Below are 18,825 nucleotides of genomic sequence, written 5' to 3' on the forward strand. Positions count from 1 at the left end.
TCGCCATTTTACCCAGGCTGGTCTTGAACTCCCGACCTCAAGTGATCTGCCCACCTCGGTCTCCTAAAGCGCTGGGCTTACAGGTGTGAGCCACTGCACCTGGCCCACTTTTCTAACTATTGTGAAAACAGAAAACTGACATCCCCTCAAAATGATGCTCCCATTCTGAATGAGTCATTTCACAGGAGCCCAGGATGCAGTTAACTAATGGTTTCACATAACTACAGATAGGCTGATATCACACTGTCACATGAACATTACACATAATGTTACGTATGAGAAACAAGGGGAAAATGTCTCCATGAAAACCGAGAGAGAGGAGAAAAAGACTTGCCACATTAAGCTTGACATTAAAACAAAATAAAAACCTTTTTTTTTTCTTTTAAAGAAATAGGTTTGTGTGGGCTGCCCAATACACTGCTGTGTGAAATTAATCATACCAAATTTGCCAGTAAAAAAATGAAAATATCGGCCGGGTGCGGTGGCTCACGCCTGTAATCCCAGCACTTTGGGAGGCCGAGGCAGGCGGATCATGAGGTCAGGAGATCGAGACCATCCTGGCTAACATGGTGAAACCCCGTCTCTACTAAAAATACAAAAACATTAGCCGGGAGTGGTGGTGGGCACCCGTAGTCTCAGCTACTCGGGAGGCTGAGGCAGAAGAATGGCATGAAACCCGGAGGCGGAGCTTGCATTGAGCCGAGATCGCGCCACTGCACTCCAGCTTGGGAGACACAGCGAGACTCCATCTCTGTGAGAGATAGGGAGACTCTGTCTCAAAAAAAAAAAAGGAAATATCAACATAATTAGATCATACCAACAGTCTATGCAACATAGGTGAGAAAACCTTGCCAGTATTCATGATAAAAAGGGATATGTATCATAACAAATTGTTTTGAGCAATTCCAGACTAATCCATCTATGCCAATGAGGAATATATCTTTGATAAATTCGATAATGAAAAAAATCAAACTTTATCCTTCTAGACCTACTACAGCATTTTTTTTTTTTTTTTTTTTGAGACAGAATCTTGCTCTGTCGCCCAGGCTGGAATACAGTGGCACGATCTCGGCTCACTGCAACCTCTGCCCTCCTGGGTTCAAGGAATTCTCCTACCTTAGCCTTCAAGTAGCTGGGATTACAGGCATGCACCACCACATCCAGCTAATTTTTTATTTTTTTATTTGTATTTTTGGTAGAGACGGGGTTTCACGATGTTGGCCAGGCTGGTCTCGAACACCTGGCCTCATGTGATCCACCCTCCTCAACCTCCCAAAGTGCTGGGATTACAGGTGTGAGCCCAGCCTATTACAGCATTGCTAACTACTATAAAACTGGGTTGTTTCCATCTCTGCTCATCTTCACTGTATTATCAAAAGAGGTAAAATCATCAAAAGGCAAACAAAAATCACAGAATTCCACGGCTTTATAAAATAAGACTAAAATAAGAACTATTTCAGCTGAAACTCTAAAATATTCATCTTGCTTAATCCATCTAATAACTCTACATTGTAGATTAAAAAGGCATAATCATTTAATTATGAGGAAAAGTTTCAGAAAATTAAGTGACTTGATCAAGTGCAGTCAAAACTGCAACTTAACTTCGAATTCTGCAATTTCAAACTCTGTGTTGTACTAAATTAGCGGTTTCTGTCTCCCTCTGCTCTTTACAACAATCCCTGATACTTCTAAGGGGCAGTCTGAAAGCACAGAACTCCATTGCTCCGTGAACACCAGTATCAAGCAACTCACTATATACTTCTCGATGAAACACATTCTATTTTCAGAAAGCTTTGAATACTAGAAGTCATTAAAAGCATTTATATTTGGACAGACATGGTGGCTCACACCTGTAATCCAAACACTTTGGGAGGCCGAGGTGGACAGATCACCTGAGGTCATAAGTTCGATACCAGCCTAGCCAACATGGAGAAACCCCATCTCTACTAAAAATGCAAAAATTAGTCGGGCGTGGTGGTAGGCACCTGTAATCCCAGCGACTCGGGAGGCTGAGGCAGGAGAATCGCTTGAACCCAGGAGGTGGAGGCTGCAGTGAGCTGAGATCATGCCACTGCAGTACAGCCTAGGTGACAGAGCAAGACTCTGTAGCAAAAAAAAAAAAAAAAAAAAAAAAATTATATTGCACTAATTACTGCCTCAAAACACGGAACACAGTATGATTTAATTAAATTTAAAGTATAATACTATAAATCTCAGTGTTGCTTCTTAAAGCTGCCAGCAGAAATAATTTCTGGGGGTATTCATTCTTCAAACACAAATCAAGCTTTTTTTAGGTGCTTAATACTGAGCTAGACCCTAAGGATATAAAAACACAGTCCCTGCATTCAGAAGTGTTAATCCCACAAAGCAAGACTAGTATTAATCCATATTCTACAGAAGAGCCATTGGGTTCCCACCATCTTCCCTTCATAAAGCTATATATTCAAGAGTAGGAGGCTTACTTTATTTACTTTTATATTTCCACCACTAGCATGTAAAAGTGGTGCAATAAATGTTCAATGCAAGTCTAGGTAACAATTCCTTAAAATTTAAAAAGCTAAATTTTTAGGCAGTGTAAAGGACAAACAAGTTATTTCCATCATTAATTCACACAATCAACTTTTTCACTTCAAATAGTCAAATTACATTAATAGATCGTAAGCTACAAAACCAAGGTAAAGCTTCCTTAGAACTTAGTCATGGCCACGTACAGTGGCTCATACCTGTAATTCCAGCACTTCGGGGGACCGAGGCAGGAGGATCACTTGAGCCCAGGAGTTTGAGACCAGCTTGGGAAACACAGTGAGATCCCAGCTCTAAAAAAATTTTAAAATTAGCTGGGAGGATTGCTTGAGCCCAGGAGTTCAAGGTTACAGTGAACTATGATTGCGCCACTGCACTCTAGCCTGGCAGCCTGGGTGAAAGAAAAAGACTCTCTTAAAAAATAAATAAATAAAAAAGAGTCTTGTCTAAGAATTCTGAACCTGGGGTCCCCTGATGTATGTAAAACTCCAAAAATTTTTCGAAACAACATATAACAGATGAATTAGGACCTAAAACTTAAAAGAACCACTGATTAAGGCAAATGCCCTAACTTTACACACAAAGGAACTGCAGAAAAGAAGGAAATGTCTCCAAAGTGCTTCTCAACTAACCAGTGTTAAGAGCTGCGTATTTATTTGCTAGGGTTCCCACAACAAAGTACCAAAGACTAGGTGGCTTAAACAATAGAAATTTATTTTCCCACACTTCTGAAGGCTAGATGTCCAAGATTAAGATGTCCACAGGGTTTATCTCTTCTCAGGCCTCCCTCCTCAGTTTGTAGATGGCCTTCTTTCTCCAGTGTCATCACATGATCTTCCCTTTGTGTTTGTCCTAACCTCTTACAAAGACACCATTCATATTGGATTAGGGCTCATATGTATAACGTCATTTTATCTTAATTACCTTTTTAAAGGCCCCATCTCCAAATATGGTCACATTCTAGGTACTAGGAGTTAGGACTTTAACTTATATACATTTGGAGAGCATACAATTCAACCTCTAAAATTCTGCCATCTGGCCCCTCAAAATTCATGTCCTTCTCAGACACAAAACACATCCACTCCATCCCAACAGCCCCAAAGTCTTGACCCATTTCAGTATCAACTCTAAGCCCCAAATCTCATCTAAATATCATTTAGATCAGGTACAGGCATACTCAAGGTTTCACCCTGAGGCAAAATTCTTCTCCAGCATGAACCTGTGAAACTAGACAAGTTATTTGCTTCCAAAATACACCACTGGTGAGACAGGCATAGGATAAACATTCCTATTCCAAAAAAATCAGAAAGAAGGGGTGATGGATCCTAAGCAGGTCTGAAACGTATAAAGGCAAATCCCATTAGATTTTAAGGCTCAAGAATAATCTTCTTCAGCTTCATTCTCCATCTTCCCACCTAACAGGGGTGGCAGCCCTGTCTTCTGAGCCCACCAGTGTGGTAGCCCACCTCCCTCAGCCCTAAGAAGTAGCCTACCTTGACTCCTCAGGCCTGAGCCCTCTGGTCCTGTGGTAGCAATAGTAGCCCCTTTGCCTTCTCAATCATCTTCAGGGTCATTCTTCCCTCTTCTTGAAGAACACATGTTCACAGCCAGATAGCTCTACTGACCCATTTTATAGAATCTCAAGAAATCCAACAGACTTCCTTCATTTTTATCCCTCTGTTCCCTTCGGTACCAGCCAGCAGCATTTCCATAGGTATAACCCCATCTCTATCCTGGCTTCTGCTAGTTGCTGCCAAGATGGCTGATTGGATCCACAAGTCACATATCCCTAATTGCTTTAGGAAATGGTTGTCTTGCAACAACTTTGATGTTCCCTCCAGAACATGCTAAATTTTTGCAATATGGATAGACTGAGAATTTTCCGAATCTTCAGGCTCTGGTTGCTTTTGGCTTAATAATTCCTTCTTAAATTTCTCTCTCTCCTCTTGCATCTTACTTTAAGCAGCAAGAAGAAACCAGGCCATATCTTTAATGCATTGCTTAGAAATCTCAGCTAAACATTCAAGTTCATCACTTTGTAAGTTCATCCACTTTCCACAAAACACAATTTGGCTATTTGCCACATTATAATAAGCATTGCCTTTCCCTCAGTTTCCAACAATATATTCCTCATTTGTTTGAGTTCCTACCAGAAACACCTTTAACATTCATATTTCTACCAATATTTATTCAAGGTGACATATGTATACCTCTAAGATGACAGAAGCTTTCTCAACAGCTCTCCTATTTTCTAAGCTTCACCAGAATCACCTTCAACATCCATATGTCTACCAACAATCTCTTCAAGGCAGTCTATGCTTTTTCTAACAAATACTTCTTCTGGCCTCTACCCATTATCTAGTTCTAAAGCCAATTCCACATTTTTAGGTATTAATTACACCAGCACCCCACTTTCCCAATACCAAAATCCATATAAGTTTACTAGGGCTTCCATAGCAAAGTATCACAGATTGGGTAGTTTAAAGAACAGAAATTTATTTTCTCACACTTCTAGAAGTCCAAGATCAAGGTGTCAGCAGTGTTGGTTTCTTCTAAAGCCTGTAGATCTCTTTGGCTTGTAGATGGCCATCTTCCTCCAGTGTCTTCACATGGTCTTACCTTTCTGTGTGTCTGTGTCCTAATCTCTTCTTAATGGAAACCACTCATATGGAATTGGAGTCCACCCATATGACTTCATTTTATCTTCATTACCTTTTTAAAGGCCCCATCTCCAAATACAGTTACATTCTAGGTTCTACAGTTAGAATTTCAATCTTCAGTGTATCAGTTGGGTGTCTGTGTGTGGGAGTGGGGGGTGGGGATGGATAATTCATCCCATAACAAACCCAAACTACTCATATTCACTTATTGTATGAATATTGAATACTAATCTTTCCCAGCCACCATGCTAGCTGATGACCAAGCAACAGTGAGCAAAACAGGTGTAATACCTGACTCATTAGCTTAAAAATAAGGGAAATAATAATATACAAATGAATAAAGCATATGAGAGCACATAAGATGTATTTGGGACCTCATCAAGCTTGCTATGTCCAAGAAAACTTTGAAGAGCTCAAATCTGAAGGACAAGAACGGAAGGGGTATGTGTACATAGAATTTTTTAGCAAGAGGGAACAGCATACCACATTCAAGGAATTGAGAGGTGGTTATCAGGGCTGGAATACAGAAAGTGAGAAAAATAATTTAAAAAACATGAAGTTGCATAGGAAAAACAGTAACATCATCCAGGATCTTAAATATCACATTATGATTTCTGGTCTTTATTCTAAGAGCAATGGGAAGCAACTGAAAGGCATTAAGCATGATCACATTTTCCCTTTAAAAAGATCACTCTGACAGAGAGAGGGCACAAGGAGCTTCTAAGGTGCTAGTAATATCGTATTTCCTGACCTGGGTATTAATTATATAGATACACTCACTGTGTGAAAATCCATCAAATGATGGTAGTTTAAAATGTAGGAACAGATTCAAGAGATATTCAGGTGGCAAAGTCCATAGAATCCATTTGATGGATTGAATATGAGGGGGAAAGAAGGCATTGAAGAAGACTCTCAACTTTCTAGCTTACAGAGATAGATAAAAGGTAAATCCATTCACTGTGGCAGGAAATCCTGGAGTCCCAGATTTAAAGAGATCACAGGTTCAATTGGAGGAGCTTTTAAGCTTAGAAGTGGAAATGTCAGGTAGACAGTTAAATATACAGACTGGAGTTCAGAGGAGAAGGTTATGAAGAAAATACATTTGGGGGTCAATATTGTTAATAGAACCATTAGGTACAAAAATCAATCAGCCGACTACTTAATGAGCTCCTACAGTACTACAGGCACTGTTTAGATTTTGTGGACACAGCTGTGAACAAAATAAACATGTCCTCATTTATCCTATATTCTATTTCAGGAATACTGCCAACGAATCAGTAGTAACATCAACTACTAGTACTACAGTGAAAGTGACATCTCAGGTGAGACCTAAACATTAAGAAAATGCTAGGCATAGGAAGAGTAGACGAGAAGAGCATTCCAAGCAGAAATAACAGTTAGAGCTTTTAGCAAGGACAAGCTTATCATATCTGAAGAACAGTTCAAAGAGGCCAGTATAGATGGACTGTAGTAAATGCAGACTGGTATAAGACAGGGTCAGAGAAGCAGCCAAGGACTAGATTATGTAGTGTCTAAGCAGTGAGTGATTTTACGTATTTTAAAAAGAATTTATAGACTACTCTAGCTGCTCTGTGGATAAAATTGTAAGGTGGCAAAAATAAAAGTGGGGAGACTACTATGTCCACATGAGAAATGATGAGACCACATAGGGAAAGCTAAGAGTAAGAACAGAAGATTGTCTAGAACTGAAATTTGAAGAATTCTAAAATTCAAGGACCAAGAGGAGAAGGCAGCAAAGGAGACAGAAATAACCACAGAGATCTGAACAAAAACCATGATGTCAAGGAAGCCAAGTAAAGTATTTTAAGGAAAAACTGATCAAAAGTTAAATGCTTGCTGAGTAGTCAAATAAGAAGAGCAGTGAATAATGCCCGTAAATACAGAGGAATATTCTGGAGACCTTAATCAATTTAGAGGAATGATAGGGACAGAAACTAAAATGGAGTTGGTTCAATATTATCAGAAGTGAGGGAGAAAAAGAAAATGAATGTAGACTACTCTTCAGAAAGAAGTTTGGCTATAAATGAGCTGTGTCAAGAAAGAGGGACTTTTAAATCGGAAGACTTGATCATGTTTAACTGTTGATGGGTCAGACTCAGCAAAGAAGGCGAGGTTGAAGTTAGAGAGAAGGAATAATTGACAATGTATAAAATTTCCTGAGAAGGAAAGAGATGCAATTCAGAGCACAGGTGAAGGCATTCAATAAACAAACGAGAGAGGATGGACACAAATGGAGGTGGAACTCAGACTGCCTAACTCTTGTAATAATGTGTTCTTCCCAGTAAAATCATGCTAAGAATATTTTGAAAAGTGTCCAAAACAGGTCAACAAAATTAACTGAAAGAAAGTTACTGAATTACTGAGGTTGAAAAGCCAAATAATGACCCAATATATATTATTTTCAGATAAATAACGAAAAATCATGTAAAGATATCCATCAGTACCAGCTATTCTTGATTGCTGAATACAGATAAATATGTGAAAAAAGATGCAAGCATTTGTGTGTTTTCTTTTTTTAAGTTACACGTAGGATCACAGTTCTTTGGGAAAAGGGTTCTAAAAAGTGATTATGAACTTTTTGTTGAACCATTTTAAGACTGGGACAAATACCTGGAGTATTCTTCTCAGACAGTCTAGAAATTCTTCTGTAAAGTGTTAAAGCGAAAAACCTTAAAAGAAATAGATAATCAAAAGCCTCAACTTTGCTCTACTAATCTGTATTCTAGGATTTAATTTCTTGATCATAAACCACAAATCTAAAGACTACTGGTGAGGTTAAAATGGAAGAAAAGGCTCTGATATGGCACTGGATACACCAAGTTAAATGGGTGATCCTTCTTCTCTGGTGGTCTGGAAATCCTTTCCCCAGCAAGTATCAAATACAACTGATTCATGCTCCATCTCCACGTTTCCTATACAGGTTGAGCACCCATAATCCAAGAAGCTCCAAAATCCTGAACTTTTTGAGCATTGATTGACATGATGCTCAAAGAAAATGTTCACCGGAGCACTTTGGATTTCCAGGTTAGATATGCTCAATCAGTAGGTATTCTGCAAATATTCCAAAATCCAAAAGAAAATCTGAACTCCAAAACACTTCTGGTCTCAAGCATTTCAGATAGGGGTACTCAACTTTTATTACAAACTGCCCTGTAACGTTGCTCTTCTTTGATTACTGCTTCCTTCGTATCAAAAGTTTGTTGACTGTTTTAGGGAGAAGACTGTGCCTAATATCGAATAAAACAGTTACTGATTCTTAGTAAAGAATAAAGCTCCTAGGACACAGTAGTGATCCAAAGATAACAAGATCCCTGGTTTTAATTTTCAAAATGTCTAGCCCATTACTCTTATCACATTTCCTATAAATACTTCAATTTACTTATATTCTAGATAAATGTCTTAACTGCATCTCTGCCAAGGGTTACATTGAACTATATTCCTATAATCTCAATACCCTTATGTACTGCTTACCAGTTTCCTGAATTGAAAACTATCTTAATCTATTCATAAAACCAATGACATTTCTTTTCTAAACAAAAATTCCAACTTTTCTATTCTAAACAAAAACTCCAACTCTAACATTTAGAACAATGAAGAAAAAACACAAACTACTCTTAAGGAATTAAGAGAAACCAAACAAGACCCAGTTCTTCAATTTTTTTAAGTTGACTAAAACAAAATAAAGCAAATACCCAACAGTAAGAATTCTGTACTTCAAGATTTTCCTTGTAAAATTTAAGTTATTTACAAAGCAAACTTAAGTAACTGTCTCTTTTACTGTTCTTTCAGAAAATTAATTTAAAATTCCATAAAAGAATAAAAAGTTCCTATTATAGAGAAAAAGCTCCTTTAATTCTTCAAATATTCGGAAAATTTATGTAATTTCCATGATGTCTACTACTAACATACTTACGTAACAAGTGGACATAAAAGAAAAGTAAGTAAAACCACTTACAAGTAGTATTGACTTATTTTAGGAAATACTGCCTGAAAATTAATTAGGGTTAAAAAAATCCAACTTAACATAATTTAGCAATCCATTTATTGAACACTATACATTTCAAATGCTAATTAAAATAATAAAATATTAAAATTAATTTAAAGCCTTACAGTACAACAGTATATGTAAATAATTCAATGGAAAAAAATGTTCCTAAAATATGATTATCAAGTCTATTGATGTTTAATTTACAGAAAACATTTAAACATTAAATAGTATAAACTCTATCAATTTTTTTTTTTTTTTTTTTTGAGATGGAGTCTCACTCTGTTGCTCAGGCTGGAGTGCATGGCACCATCTTGGCTCACTGCAACCTCTGCCACCCAGGTTCAAGCGATTCTCCTACCTCAGCCTCCTGAGTAGCTAGGATTACAGGCACATGCCACCACGCCCAGCTAATTTTTGTATCTTTAGTAAAGACAGGGTTTCACCACGTTGGCCAGGCTGGTCTCCAACGCCTCACCTCAGGTGATCTACCCACCCGGCCTCCGAAAATGCTGGGATTACAGGCGTGAGCCACTGCACCTGGCCCAACTCTTTTCAATTTTGACTTTTAAAAACAGAATTATAAATGGCCTCTTGAAGATTTCTTCATTTAACTTTCCTGATAAATCAACATACCTTATAACCTTAAAAAATAAAGATACCATAAAGATGGAATCAACTCTTCACTGGAATTTCTTTTTAACCTTGGAAAAACACCAAATTAAAAAAAAAAAAGATAACTATGTGGTTAAAAAAAAATAATACAGGGTTACAGTAGATACATGTCTAACATAGATTTGAATCACAGTTTTATCTCTTACTAGAGAAATCATGTTAGGTAAGTCGTTTAACCTAAATTTTTGTTTCCTCTTTCTAAAGCCATTGTAGAATTGTGAAAATTAATGACTGTAACAATCACATTTAGATGGGGGCCTAGCACTGATGGGCATTAAATAAGCAGCAGTTATTTAAATGGATACTATTAAGACTTTTTGCTACAAAATTCCTACTGTTTGTTGCAGCGGCATTGCACCATATAAGGAACCACTTGTAAAAATTTAACTCAAAATAGTTATCAGCTTTCCTTCAAAATCATTCAGTTAAGGGCAACCAGCAACCATGACATAATAGTGAATTATGTAACAGTGAATTTCAACCTACTGCTTATCAATTAGCATCCATCATCATATAATTAAGTTAATGTAAATATTTTTTCTCAAATCCATACATTCAAGTTCTATGCCATGTTATGGATTCCCCACCAATGATTAACATAATAGATTTTTATAAATCTTTCCAGCCATTTTCGTATCTAAATTCTACCTAACCCACAGGGTCAGGAAACTAAATGCAGAGCTGTGGTGTATAAGTTTAACTTGATTAAGTAAGGCTGAGAAGGAACAATGAGTTCAGTAGAATACAGGAGGGAAAAAGATATTATCTCCCGCTTTGCCAGACACTTACCATCCCATCATCTTCATTAAGAATGTTATGAGGTTACAGGAGGATAGCTGAGCAAAAAATGAATAGAGTGAAAGAAAACACGTACACAAGAAAAGACTATGAAAGAAAAAGAAATATGATTTCTAAGATTAAGAAAAACGGAAGAAAAAAAAAGGAAAACAAAGAACCCACAATCCCTTCCTGAGTAAATTTTCTTTCATTTTGTTACACTAAAAAACTGAAGAGTTCAGAATTACTCTTCAGAATTTCTTTCAGAATGAAGAGATATTCTGAAAGCTGTATAATTATTATAATTACCAACTGAAAATTAACACCAAGAATAAAACTTTAACTTTACATGTACCATCTGAAAACAGTTAAAACTGGAAAATAAGAAAATAATCCAAATAATAAAGTATATTTCAATGGACTCTACTAAAACACAATTTCAACCATGAAAAACCACATTATTCTTTTTCCCTTAGTTACTAGCAAAACTGAGAGGCAAACCCAATAGCTCCTCTCAAAGTATTTCAATCTTCCCATTAATTTACAAAAAGTAGTTCAATTACAAAAAAAAAGGAAATGGAAATATTAAAAACCAAACCAAGACTTCAATGTGAAGTCTTCAGTTACTCACCAATTGCTAATGCAATTGTGTCTAGTTTTGAGATTAGGGATCAGACTGTGCCTGTGTCCATCCTACAGAAAAATCATCTATTTTTTTCCACACTGAAATTTAAGAGAACTTACTGAAGTTAACATATTCCATTCTGGGAAGTGAATTATAATGTGTAATTATTACAATTACCACAACTGGAATGTAACAGGGTTATTTTTCAGAGAACAGAATTTGTCAGAAGGAGAAGGAAGAAAAAGAGATTATGAATGATTAAATAAATTTCTATTGGATATACAAAAAGTCAAAACTTTTCAATACATACAGCTTAGCTTCTAGAATAACTATTTACTGTTGAGACTCTCTTTCCAAAGTTATTTGTGCTACTCCTTCTTCTTGTTCTTGTGCATAGAGTGATAATACATTAAGAATTTCTGGCCAGGCGCAGTGGCTCATGCCAGTAATCCCAGCACTTTGGGAGGCCGAGGCGGGTGGATCACGAGGTCAGGAGATCAACACCATCCTGGCTAACAAGGTGAAACCCCGTCTCTATTAAAAACACAAAAAAATTACCCGGGCATGGTGGCGGGCGCCTGTAGTCCCAGCTACTCAGGAGGCTGAGGCAGGAGAATGGCGTGAACCCGGGAGGCAGAGCTTGCAGTGAGCCAAGATCGCGCCACTGGACTCCAGCCTGGGCAACAGAGCGAGACTCCGTCTCAAAAAAAAAAAAAAGAATTTCTGTAGGAGATCTTCCAAATTACTGCTTACATACATGTATATTCTATTACAAAAATTACACCACTCAATGTAGTCTAAATTATTGAGAGTAAATTGTAGCCATTCTTTTACATGTTTTCTGAACTTAGTTGCCAATAATCATAATCATTAGCTTTTCAAGGTTTGCTCTGAAACTTACAAACCATGCAAAAGTGAAAACTTAGGCTTAACATATTTGGCAATTTAAATCAACTAAATTGAATCAATCTAAATACTGCTTTGCAAAGTAAAAAAGGAATCAAAATGACACATAAGACAATCACTAATCCCTATATTTTTAGGGTCTATTTCAAGAAATTTACTACTACTTCTTACCAGCCTAAGGACTGTGTAAGAAGGAAATACAGTATACATACAGGGAAGCCAACTGTTTTAATGATACCTTTTAAAAATAAAGATTTGTATGCCAGTCTTATCACCAAACATTCATTAATCCCTTAATACAATCTCTCCTCAGAAAATTCACGAAGACACAGCTGGTAACTTTAATAGGAAAATTTTTAATTTATAAATTGTAGCTCCTAAAACTTAACTCTAAAAAATCACTAACTTAACTCCTGCTGCTGCCACCAAATTATTTATTCTGAATGTTCTGAATTATTTATTCTGAATCATAAGCTAAGATTTTGTTATAAAACACTGTTCAATGTGGATTGCAAATGTTAAGAAAAAAAAAGCAACAACAATACAACTTTAGCCCTTATTAGTTATTGTATTCATGTCAGAATACATTAAACTTCAATAAAGACTAGCAAGCCTATCTGGCCAAGGCACTAGAACACACAACTACATTTCTTCTACATTTTCCAAAGAGACCACAACCAATTTTCTTTATAAATAGTTAGAAAACCAGTCTCAGAAAATCAGACATTTTTGCAATAAAAAAATTCAAGTATAGCCAATACAAACATTTCATATCCTCTTAAATCATACTTTCAAAACTTATCTATACGTAAAACTGGAAAATTCCAGAATCTGTATTAATTAGACAAGAGATAAGCAAAGTTCAAATACTTAAATCACCCACTCCAACAATTAAAAAAATTCAGTCTTTTGTAAATAATCTTACTTTTAAAACAGACAAAAATATAAAAAAGCTAACATTATCTTTTACAAAGATAAATACTGAAAATAAAGATTACCTGGTTAAAAAGCAGTATCAAAAGTTCAAATTAATTACCACACAAGAATTTTCACTAAAATTATGAAACATAAAAAATCATAAATTCATTTACCACAAAAAAGTAACTTCTGCACTAAACCTATGGAACAAACAAAAAAATAAATACAATTTAATCTTACTGAACCAAACTAGAAGTTGTATTCTACTTAACTAAGATGTACTCCATCTTAGGTAAATATGATTAATATCCACTTTAATTATTTGTGATGGAGATGGTTAGAATAGGGCATAGCAGCAGGGGTCTATTCCACTAACATTATACCTGGCTGGGTGCCTGTAATCCCAGCTACCAGGTAGGCTGAGGCAGGAGGATCACTTGAGACCAGTTCAAGTCCAGTCTATACAACAGAAAGAGACCTCATCTCTTAACCCCAACCCCCAAAAAAGACTGTCTGAATAGAATTTTGATGAAAAATTGTAAATTTCACATTTTTATAGATTTTTAAACACCAAGCAATGACTTTAAACAGTGATTTTAGTATTTCCACTGCATATTCATTCCTCCATTCTGTTTTTAATTAAAATTAGCCACAATGTTTAGGAAAACAACTGTTTTTCCACTTTAAAAAAACCAACTAGGCCTGGTGTGGTGGCTCATGCCTGTAATCCCACCCAGCACTTTGGGAGGCCAAGGCAGGCGGATCACCTGGGGTCAGGAGTTCGAGACCTGCCTGGCCAACATGGTGAAACACTGTCTCTACTAAAAATACAAAAATTATCCAGGTATGGTGGCGAGTGCCTCTAATCCCAGCTACTCGGGAGGCTGAGGCAGGAGAATCGCTTGAACCTGGGAGGTGGAGGTTGCAGTGAGCTGACATCATGCCACTGTACTCCAGCTTGGGTGATCCAGAGAAAGACTCTGTCTCAAAAAAAAAAAAAAAAATCACTAAAGCTGGTGCAGTGGCTCATGCCTGTAATCTCAGCACTTTGGGAGGATCACTTGAGGCCAGGAGTACAAGACCAGTTTGGGAAACAAGGCAAGACCCCATCTCTACAAAAAAATTTTTTTAATGCAAAATAAGCCAGGTGTGGCAGTGCATGCTTGAAGTCCCAGCTACTTGGGATGCTGAGAAAGGAGGACCTCTTGAGCCTAGGAGTTCAAGGTTTCAGCAAGCTATGATCACGCCACCACACTCCATCCAGCCCACGTAGCAGGACAAGACCTTGTTTGTTTAATTCTGAGTAAGAATGTTAGCTTTCCAGCCTCAGTAAGATTTATTTATTTATTTGGACTCTGTGATGCAACAGTAGTTGGCTAACATTATAATGTAAAAAATTAATTGGTAATGACGAATGATCTCTAACTGATTATTATTTAGTAGTCAGAACTAGGAGATGAAGACAAGTCTATAATAAAATCTGGAAATTAAAATAAACTTAATATGAACATATTTCCTCATAATCTGTTTCTCCCAAAGGTAATACTCTACTTTCCAAAAATAAATGTAAAAGTTATTTTAAAAAAACTAATTTTTTTTTTTGAGAAGGAGTCTCACTCTGTCTCACAGGCTGGAGTGCAAGTGGCGCAATCTCTGCTTACTGCAAACTCTGCCTCCCAGGTTCAAGCGATTCTCCCCCCTCAGCCTCCCAAGTAGCTGGGATTACAGGCACACACCACCACACCCAGCTGATTTTTGTATTTTAAGTAGAGATGTGGTTTCACTGTGTCAGACAGGCTGGTCTCAAACTCCTGACCTCAGGTGATCTGCCCACCTCGGCCTCCCAAAGTGCTGGGATTACAGGTGTTAGCCACCGTGCCCGGCCAAAAAGCTAAATTTATAGTACTATTACTCCTAAGTTTATGAAGACAGACAGAAAGAAAGGGACATATAGTCTACCTAAGAGTTGTTTCACCTGTCCCAAAATGAAATCCTTTTGTACAATTTTCAAACTGCGCTAATCTACAGAATAAAATACTTAGAAACACAAGTCCAAACACCAACAAGTATTACTCTGAAATAAAAGAATATATGAAAACATAGATGAAGATGTGTATATGTATACAATATACATTTACACACAAAACATGAATTAGCATATTCTTACATCGTAGTTAAGATGAACAAATATATACAAACACACGTATTAAACAAGATAAAGGTAATATTCATTCAAATGTTAACAGCACTGAATAGTACAAATAAAATCATATTCTTATTTCACTAAAGGCAATGTAACAAAGACCTTGTTGATAGCAGTGAATCTAGTTTTTGGCCTGACAACTTAAAAAGTAATATAAAGATGTGAGAGAATATCTAAAGTTGAAAGGAATAGCAAAAGGTTTTAAAACAAAGAAATACTATGGGATTCAAGATGTGCTGGTTTAGGAGAAAGCTTAAAGGCCACAAAATATTATGTAAAACATATAAAGAATCATAATGCTTAATTTTTAAGACAGCATTGTAATTAGCTGGGTTTTTTTTCCCCTAAAAAGAGTAAATCAAAAAAGTAAATCAAAACTGTTGAAGAAATATTCTTCAGAAGACATTGGTAACAATGGTATTAAGAGAAGTAGTAGTGTTTTTTTCCTCATGTTGCAAAGAGAAATGCTTAATTATCTAGGTTAGTCTAGGTAAAGCTTGGTTTGAAGGCAGGGGATGAATGACAAGACCTCTGAAATGAATTCCATCTCAGTTTTTAATTTTATATGAAGAAACACATCTAAAAACTATCCAGTGAGAGAAATATAATTTGCTCTACAGAAAAATTAGTACTAGAAGATATTCTATAGTACAAATCCTCTTATGACCATGTTAAGCAACTGTCCAAAATATTTTTATACTAGAATTATATCACATTAAATTGAACAGAGAGAAGTAAAACATTATTAGAATCACTTTATCCCTTCAAGAACTGGCAAGCATGTGGGGTTAGGGAGATGGGTTGAGAAGGAGGATGATAACTATGTATGCATTACAAGATGAATATGCATATTATGAAGAAAACTCCCCAGGTGACTGATATACCTACTATCTAACATTTGCTGGGGAATTTTGTTTGAACTAAGTGATGTGCTGATTATAGCTAAGAAATAATTTTGTCACACAGATCAATCAGCTGAAATATAATTTTACCTGTCTAATGAATAGAGAAAACTAAGGTACCCTATACCAAGTCAGTATTTCTTGCATATTTAAGGTAGTGAAGGAAAAACCGTAAAGTTTTATGAAAAGTTAGATTTAGATATGAACTATTAAAAAACTGTTCAATAGTGTCTATAAAATAGATAAATTAGTTTAAAATTCGATTGTAGAAAAACATCCTAGCTCCTACCCACCACTCTATTACTCAGGTGCTTCCATAACAGCCAAGAGTATTACAACAAGAGAATATAAAAACATTTAAAATACAATTTCATATATTTTTATTTACACTTTAACAACTTGCTGGGAATTTAAACAACTTGCTGGGAACATCCTTTGTGAGGCACTGTAGCCTTTTTTTATTTGAAACTACTTAAACTCCAAGACAGGCTCACTAACTCTTTTTCAAGTGCAACAACAAATGTGTTAGCTGAAAATAGCTAATTTAATGATTATTTGTGACACAGACACGATTATGTGAGCCAAGAGAGCCTCCCCACCTCTGTCTCCCCTGTGGAGGAGGAGGTCTTTGTGTGCTTTTGTGTGATGGTTCCACTGAATTCATTACAATAGAAATGGACATTTGATATTCATAACGATCCAACATCTGAGCAATCTTCTTTCGAGACACACCATGTTTATTCCTCCTAACAAAAAAGAAAAGGATTGTAAATCTTTGTTGCAGAATGTACAGGCTTAGAGATTAACTGTTTTAGAGAAAAAGCACACAAATTCTAAATAATATTTTGTAAATAAACAATATATATTTCATCTGTCCACATTTTATGTAAAAAGACTTATTAAAAACTCAAATGTTTTTATCAATATTTTAAAAAGGTATAAAGATTCCATATATCACAGAAAAATGTTAATTACATCCTTTTCACATAGAACTACCTATTCACTGAGCCTGCTGACTATATCCCCTTGTTAATAACAAAATTAAAGATTATGAAATACTGTTTTAAGAATTACAGAAAGATTGAGTGGACTTCTAGGACTTGCAAAAATTGAAGTAAAATATCACTTTTTAGAAGTTATTTATGACAGTTGCTATCACATTTTAAAATGGGCAACACCAAATTATTATTACAGACACAATTTGAACATCTCTTACAAACATAATGTTGAGTGAAATAAATTAGACACAATGTATATAAACTGTAGGATTCCATATATATATGTATTATACATAATATAAAGCTTTGATAAAAGGCAAAACTAAACTATGGTATTTTTTTAACCTTGCCCCTGCCCCCAAACTATGATATTAAGGCCAAAGATATTATGGCAAAACTTTAAAAAAAGAGATTATGATTACCCAGGCAAAACAATGGCTACCTTTAGAGAATAAAAGGTAACTGTGACTGGGAAGAGGAATGCAAAGAGCTTCTGAGATGCTGGCAATGCTCCCATGACATGGGTGATAGCTAAACGTGTGTTGATCTTGTAAGAACTTTGTTAAGTTATATATTTATATTTATGTACTTTTCTGTATGTGAGGTTATATGACACTAAAAAGTGGTTTAAAATTTATTCTGGACCCTCAAAGAACTCCTGACAACTTATTTTACCCTCATAGTTTTCTGTAACTTGACCTGGACATGACAAAACATACAGGAAACATATTTTTACATTTATCATTCTAGATGTACAAATGCCAATTTATTTATCTTGGAAAAAGGCCAGAAATGTTTACTTTTCAATGCTGATGTTTACATTCAAGATAAGAAAAGAAAGCAAAAAAGATAGAAGAAAAAATGCGATGAAGTTGAAAATTGGCAAGATATGACTAAATCTGGCTGGGTGCAGTGCTGAGGCCAGCGGAATGCTTGGGCCCAGGAGTTCAAGAGCCCAGTGTAGGCAATATGGCAAAACCGTCTCTACCAAAAAAAAAAAAAAAAAATTAGCTGGGCATGGTGGTGGTGCACACTTGTAGTCCCAGTTACTCCCAAGGTGGGTAGATCGCTTGAGTCCAGGAGGAAGAGGTTGCAGTGAGCCAAGATCGTCACTGCAAGCCGGGTGCAGTGGCTCACACCTGTAATCCCAGCACTTTTGGGAGGCCAAGGTGGGTGGATTGCTTGAGGTCAGGAGCTCAAGACCAGCCTAACCAACATGGTGAAACTCCGTCTCTACTAAAAATACAAAAAATAGCCAGGCGTAGTGGCAGGTGCCTGTATGCCCAGCTACTCAGGAGGCTGAAGCAGGGGAATCGCTTGAACCTGGGAGGCAGAAGTAAGCTGAGATCGCCCCACTGAACTCCAGCCTGGGAAACAAAATGAGACTCTGTCTGAAAAAAATAAAAATAAAAAAAGATCACTACTGCACTCCAGCCTGGGTGACAGCAGTAGACCCTGTCTCAAAAAATGTTTTTTAATTTAAAAAAAAAGACTAAATCCACAAGATGCCAATATTTATGATTCAATCAATCCTTTTCAAAAATCAAGCTACACCAGGTATCAGTTAAACTGGCTTTGTTATATAAAGGTAAATTTATATTAAGAAAATAATAAATTTTAACAATTCCTCAA

General features: G+C 36.3%; 1 protein-coding gene and 1 long non-coding RNA gene across 70 annotated transcripts in view; both read right to left on the reverse strand.

Moving 5' to 3' along the window:
- N4BP2L2 (NEDD4 binding protein 2 like 2) overlaps nt 1–18,825 on the reverse strand; it is a 106,384-nt gene that overhangs the window by 68,578 nt on the left and 18,981 nt on the right. For 36 of the 69 annotated variants that reach the window (NR_170552.1, NR_170548.1, NR_170545.1 and 33 more), the window contains one exon: nt 9,230–16,941. The exons of 7 other annotated variants lie outside the window; for them this stretch is intronic. Coding sequence is in view for 37 of the 62 variants with exons in the window: in NM_001387059.1 (NP_001373988.1) it covers nt 16,740–16,941 (202 nt within the window). In the remaining 25 variants the exon portion in view is untranslated. Of the gene's footprint in view, nt 1–2,723; nt 2,817–3,216; nt 16,942–18,825 lie in introns of those variants that run through there. 26 more of the 69 variants (NR_170379.1, NR_170384.1, NR_170382.1 and 23 more) reach the window with 3 other exon arrangements.
- On the reverse strand, nt 3,444–8,333 carry N4BP2L2-IT2 (N4BPL2 intronic transcript 2). Its single transcript, NR_026928.1, has one exon. It is a non-coding gene; the product is annotated as a N4BPL2 intronic transcript 2 (long non-coding RNA).

The sequence above is a fragment of the Homo sapiens genome, chromosome 13, assembly GCF_000001405.40.
Source record: "Homo sapiens chromosome 13, GRCh38.p14 Primary Assembly".
Classification (NCBI taxonomy): Eukaryota; Metazoa; Chordata; class Mammalia; order Primates; family Hominidae; genus Homo; species Homo sapiens.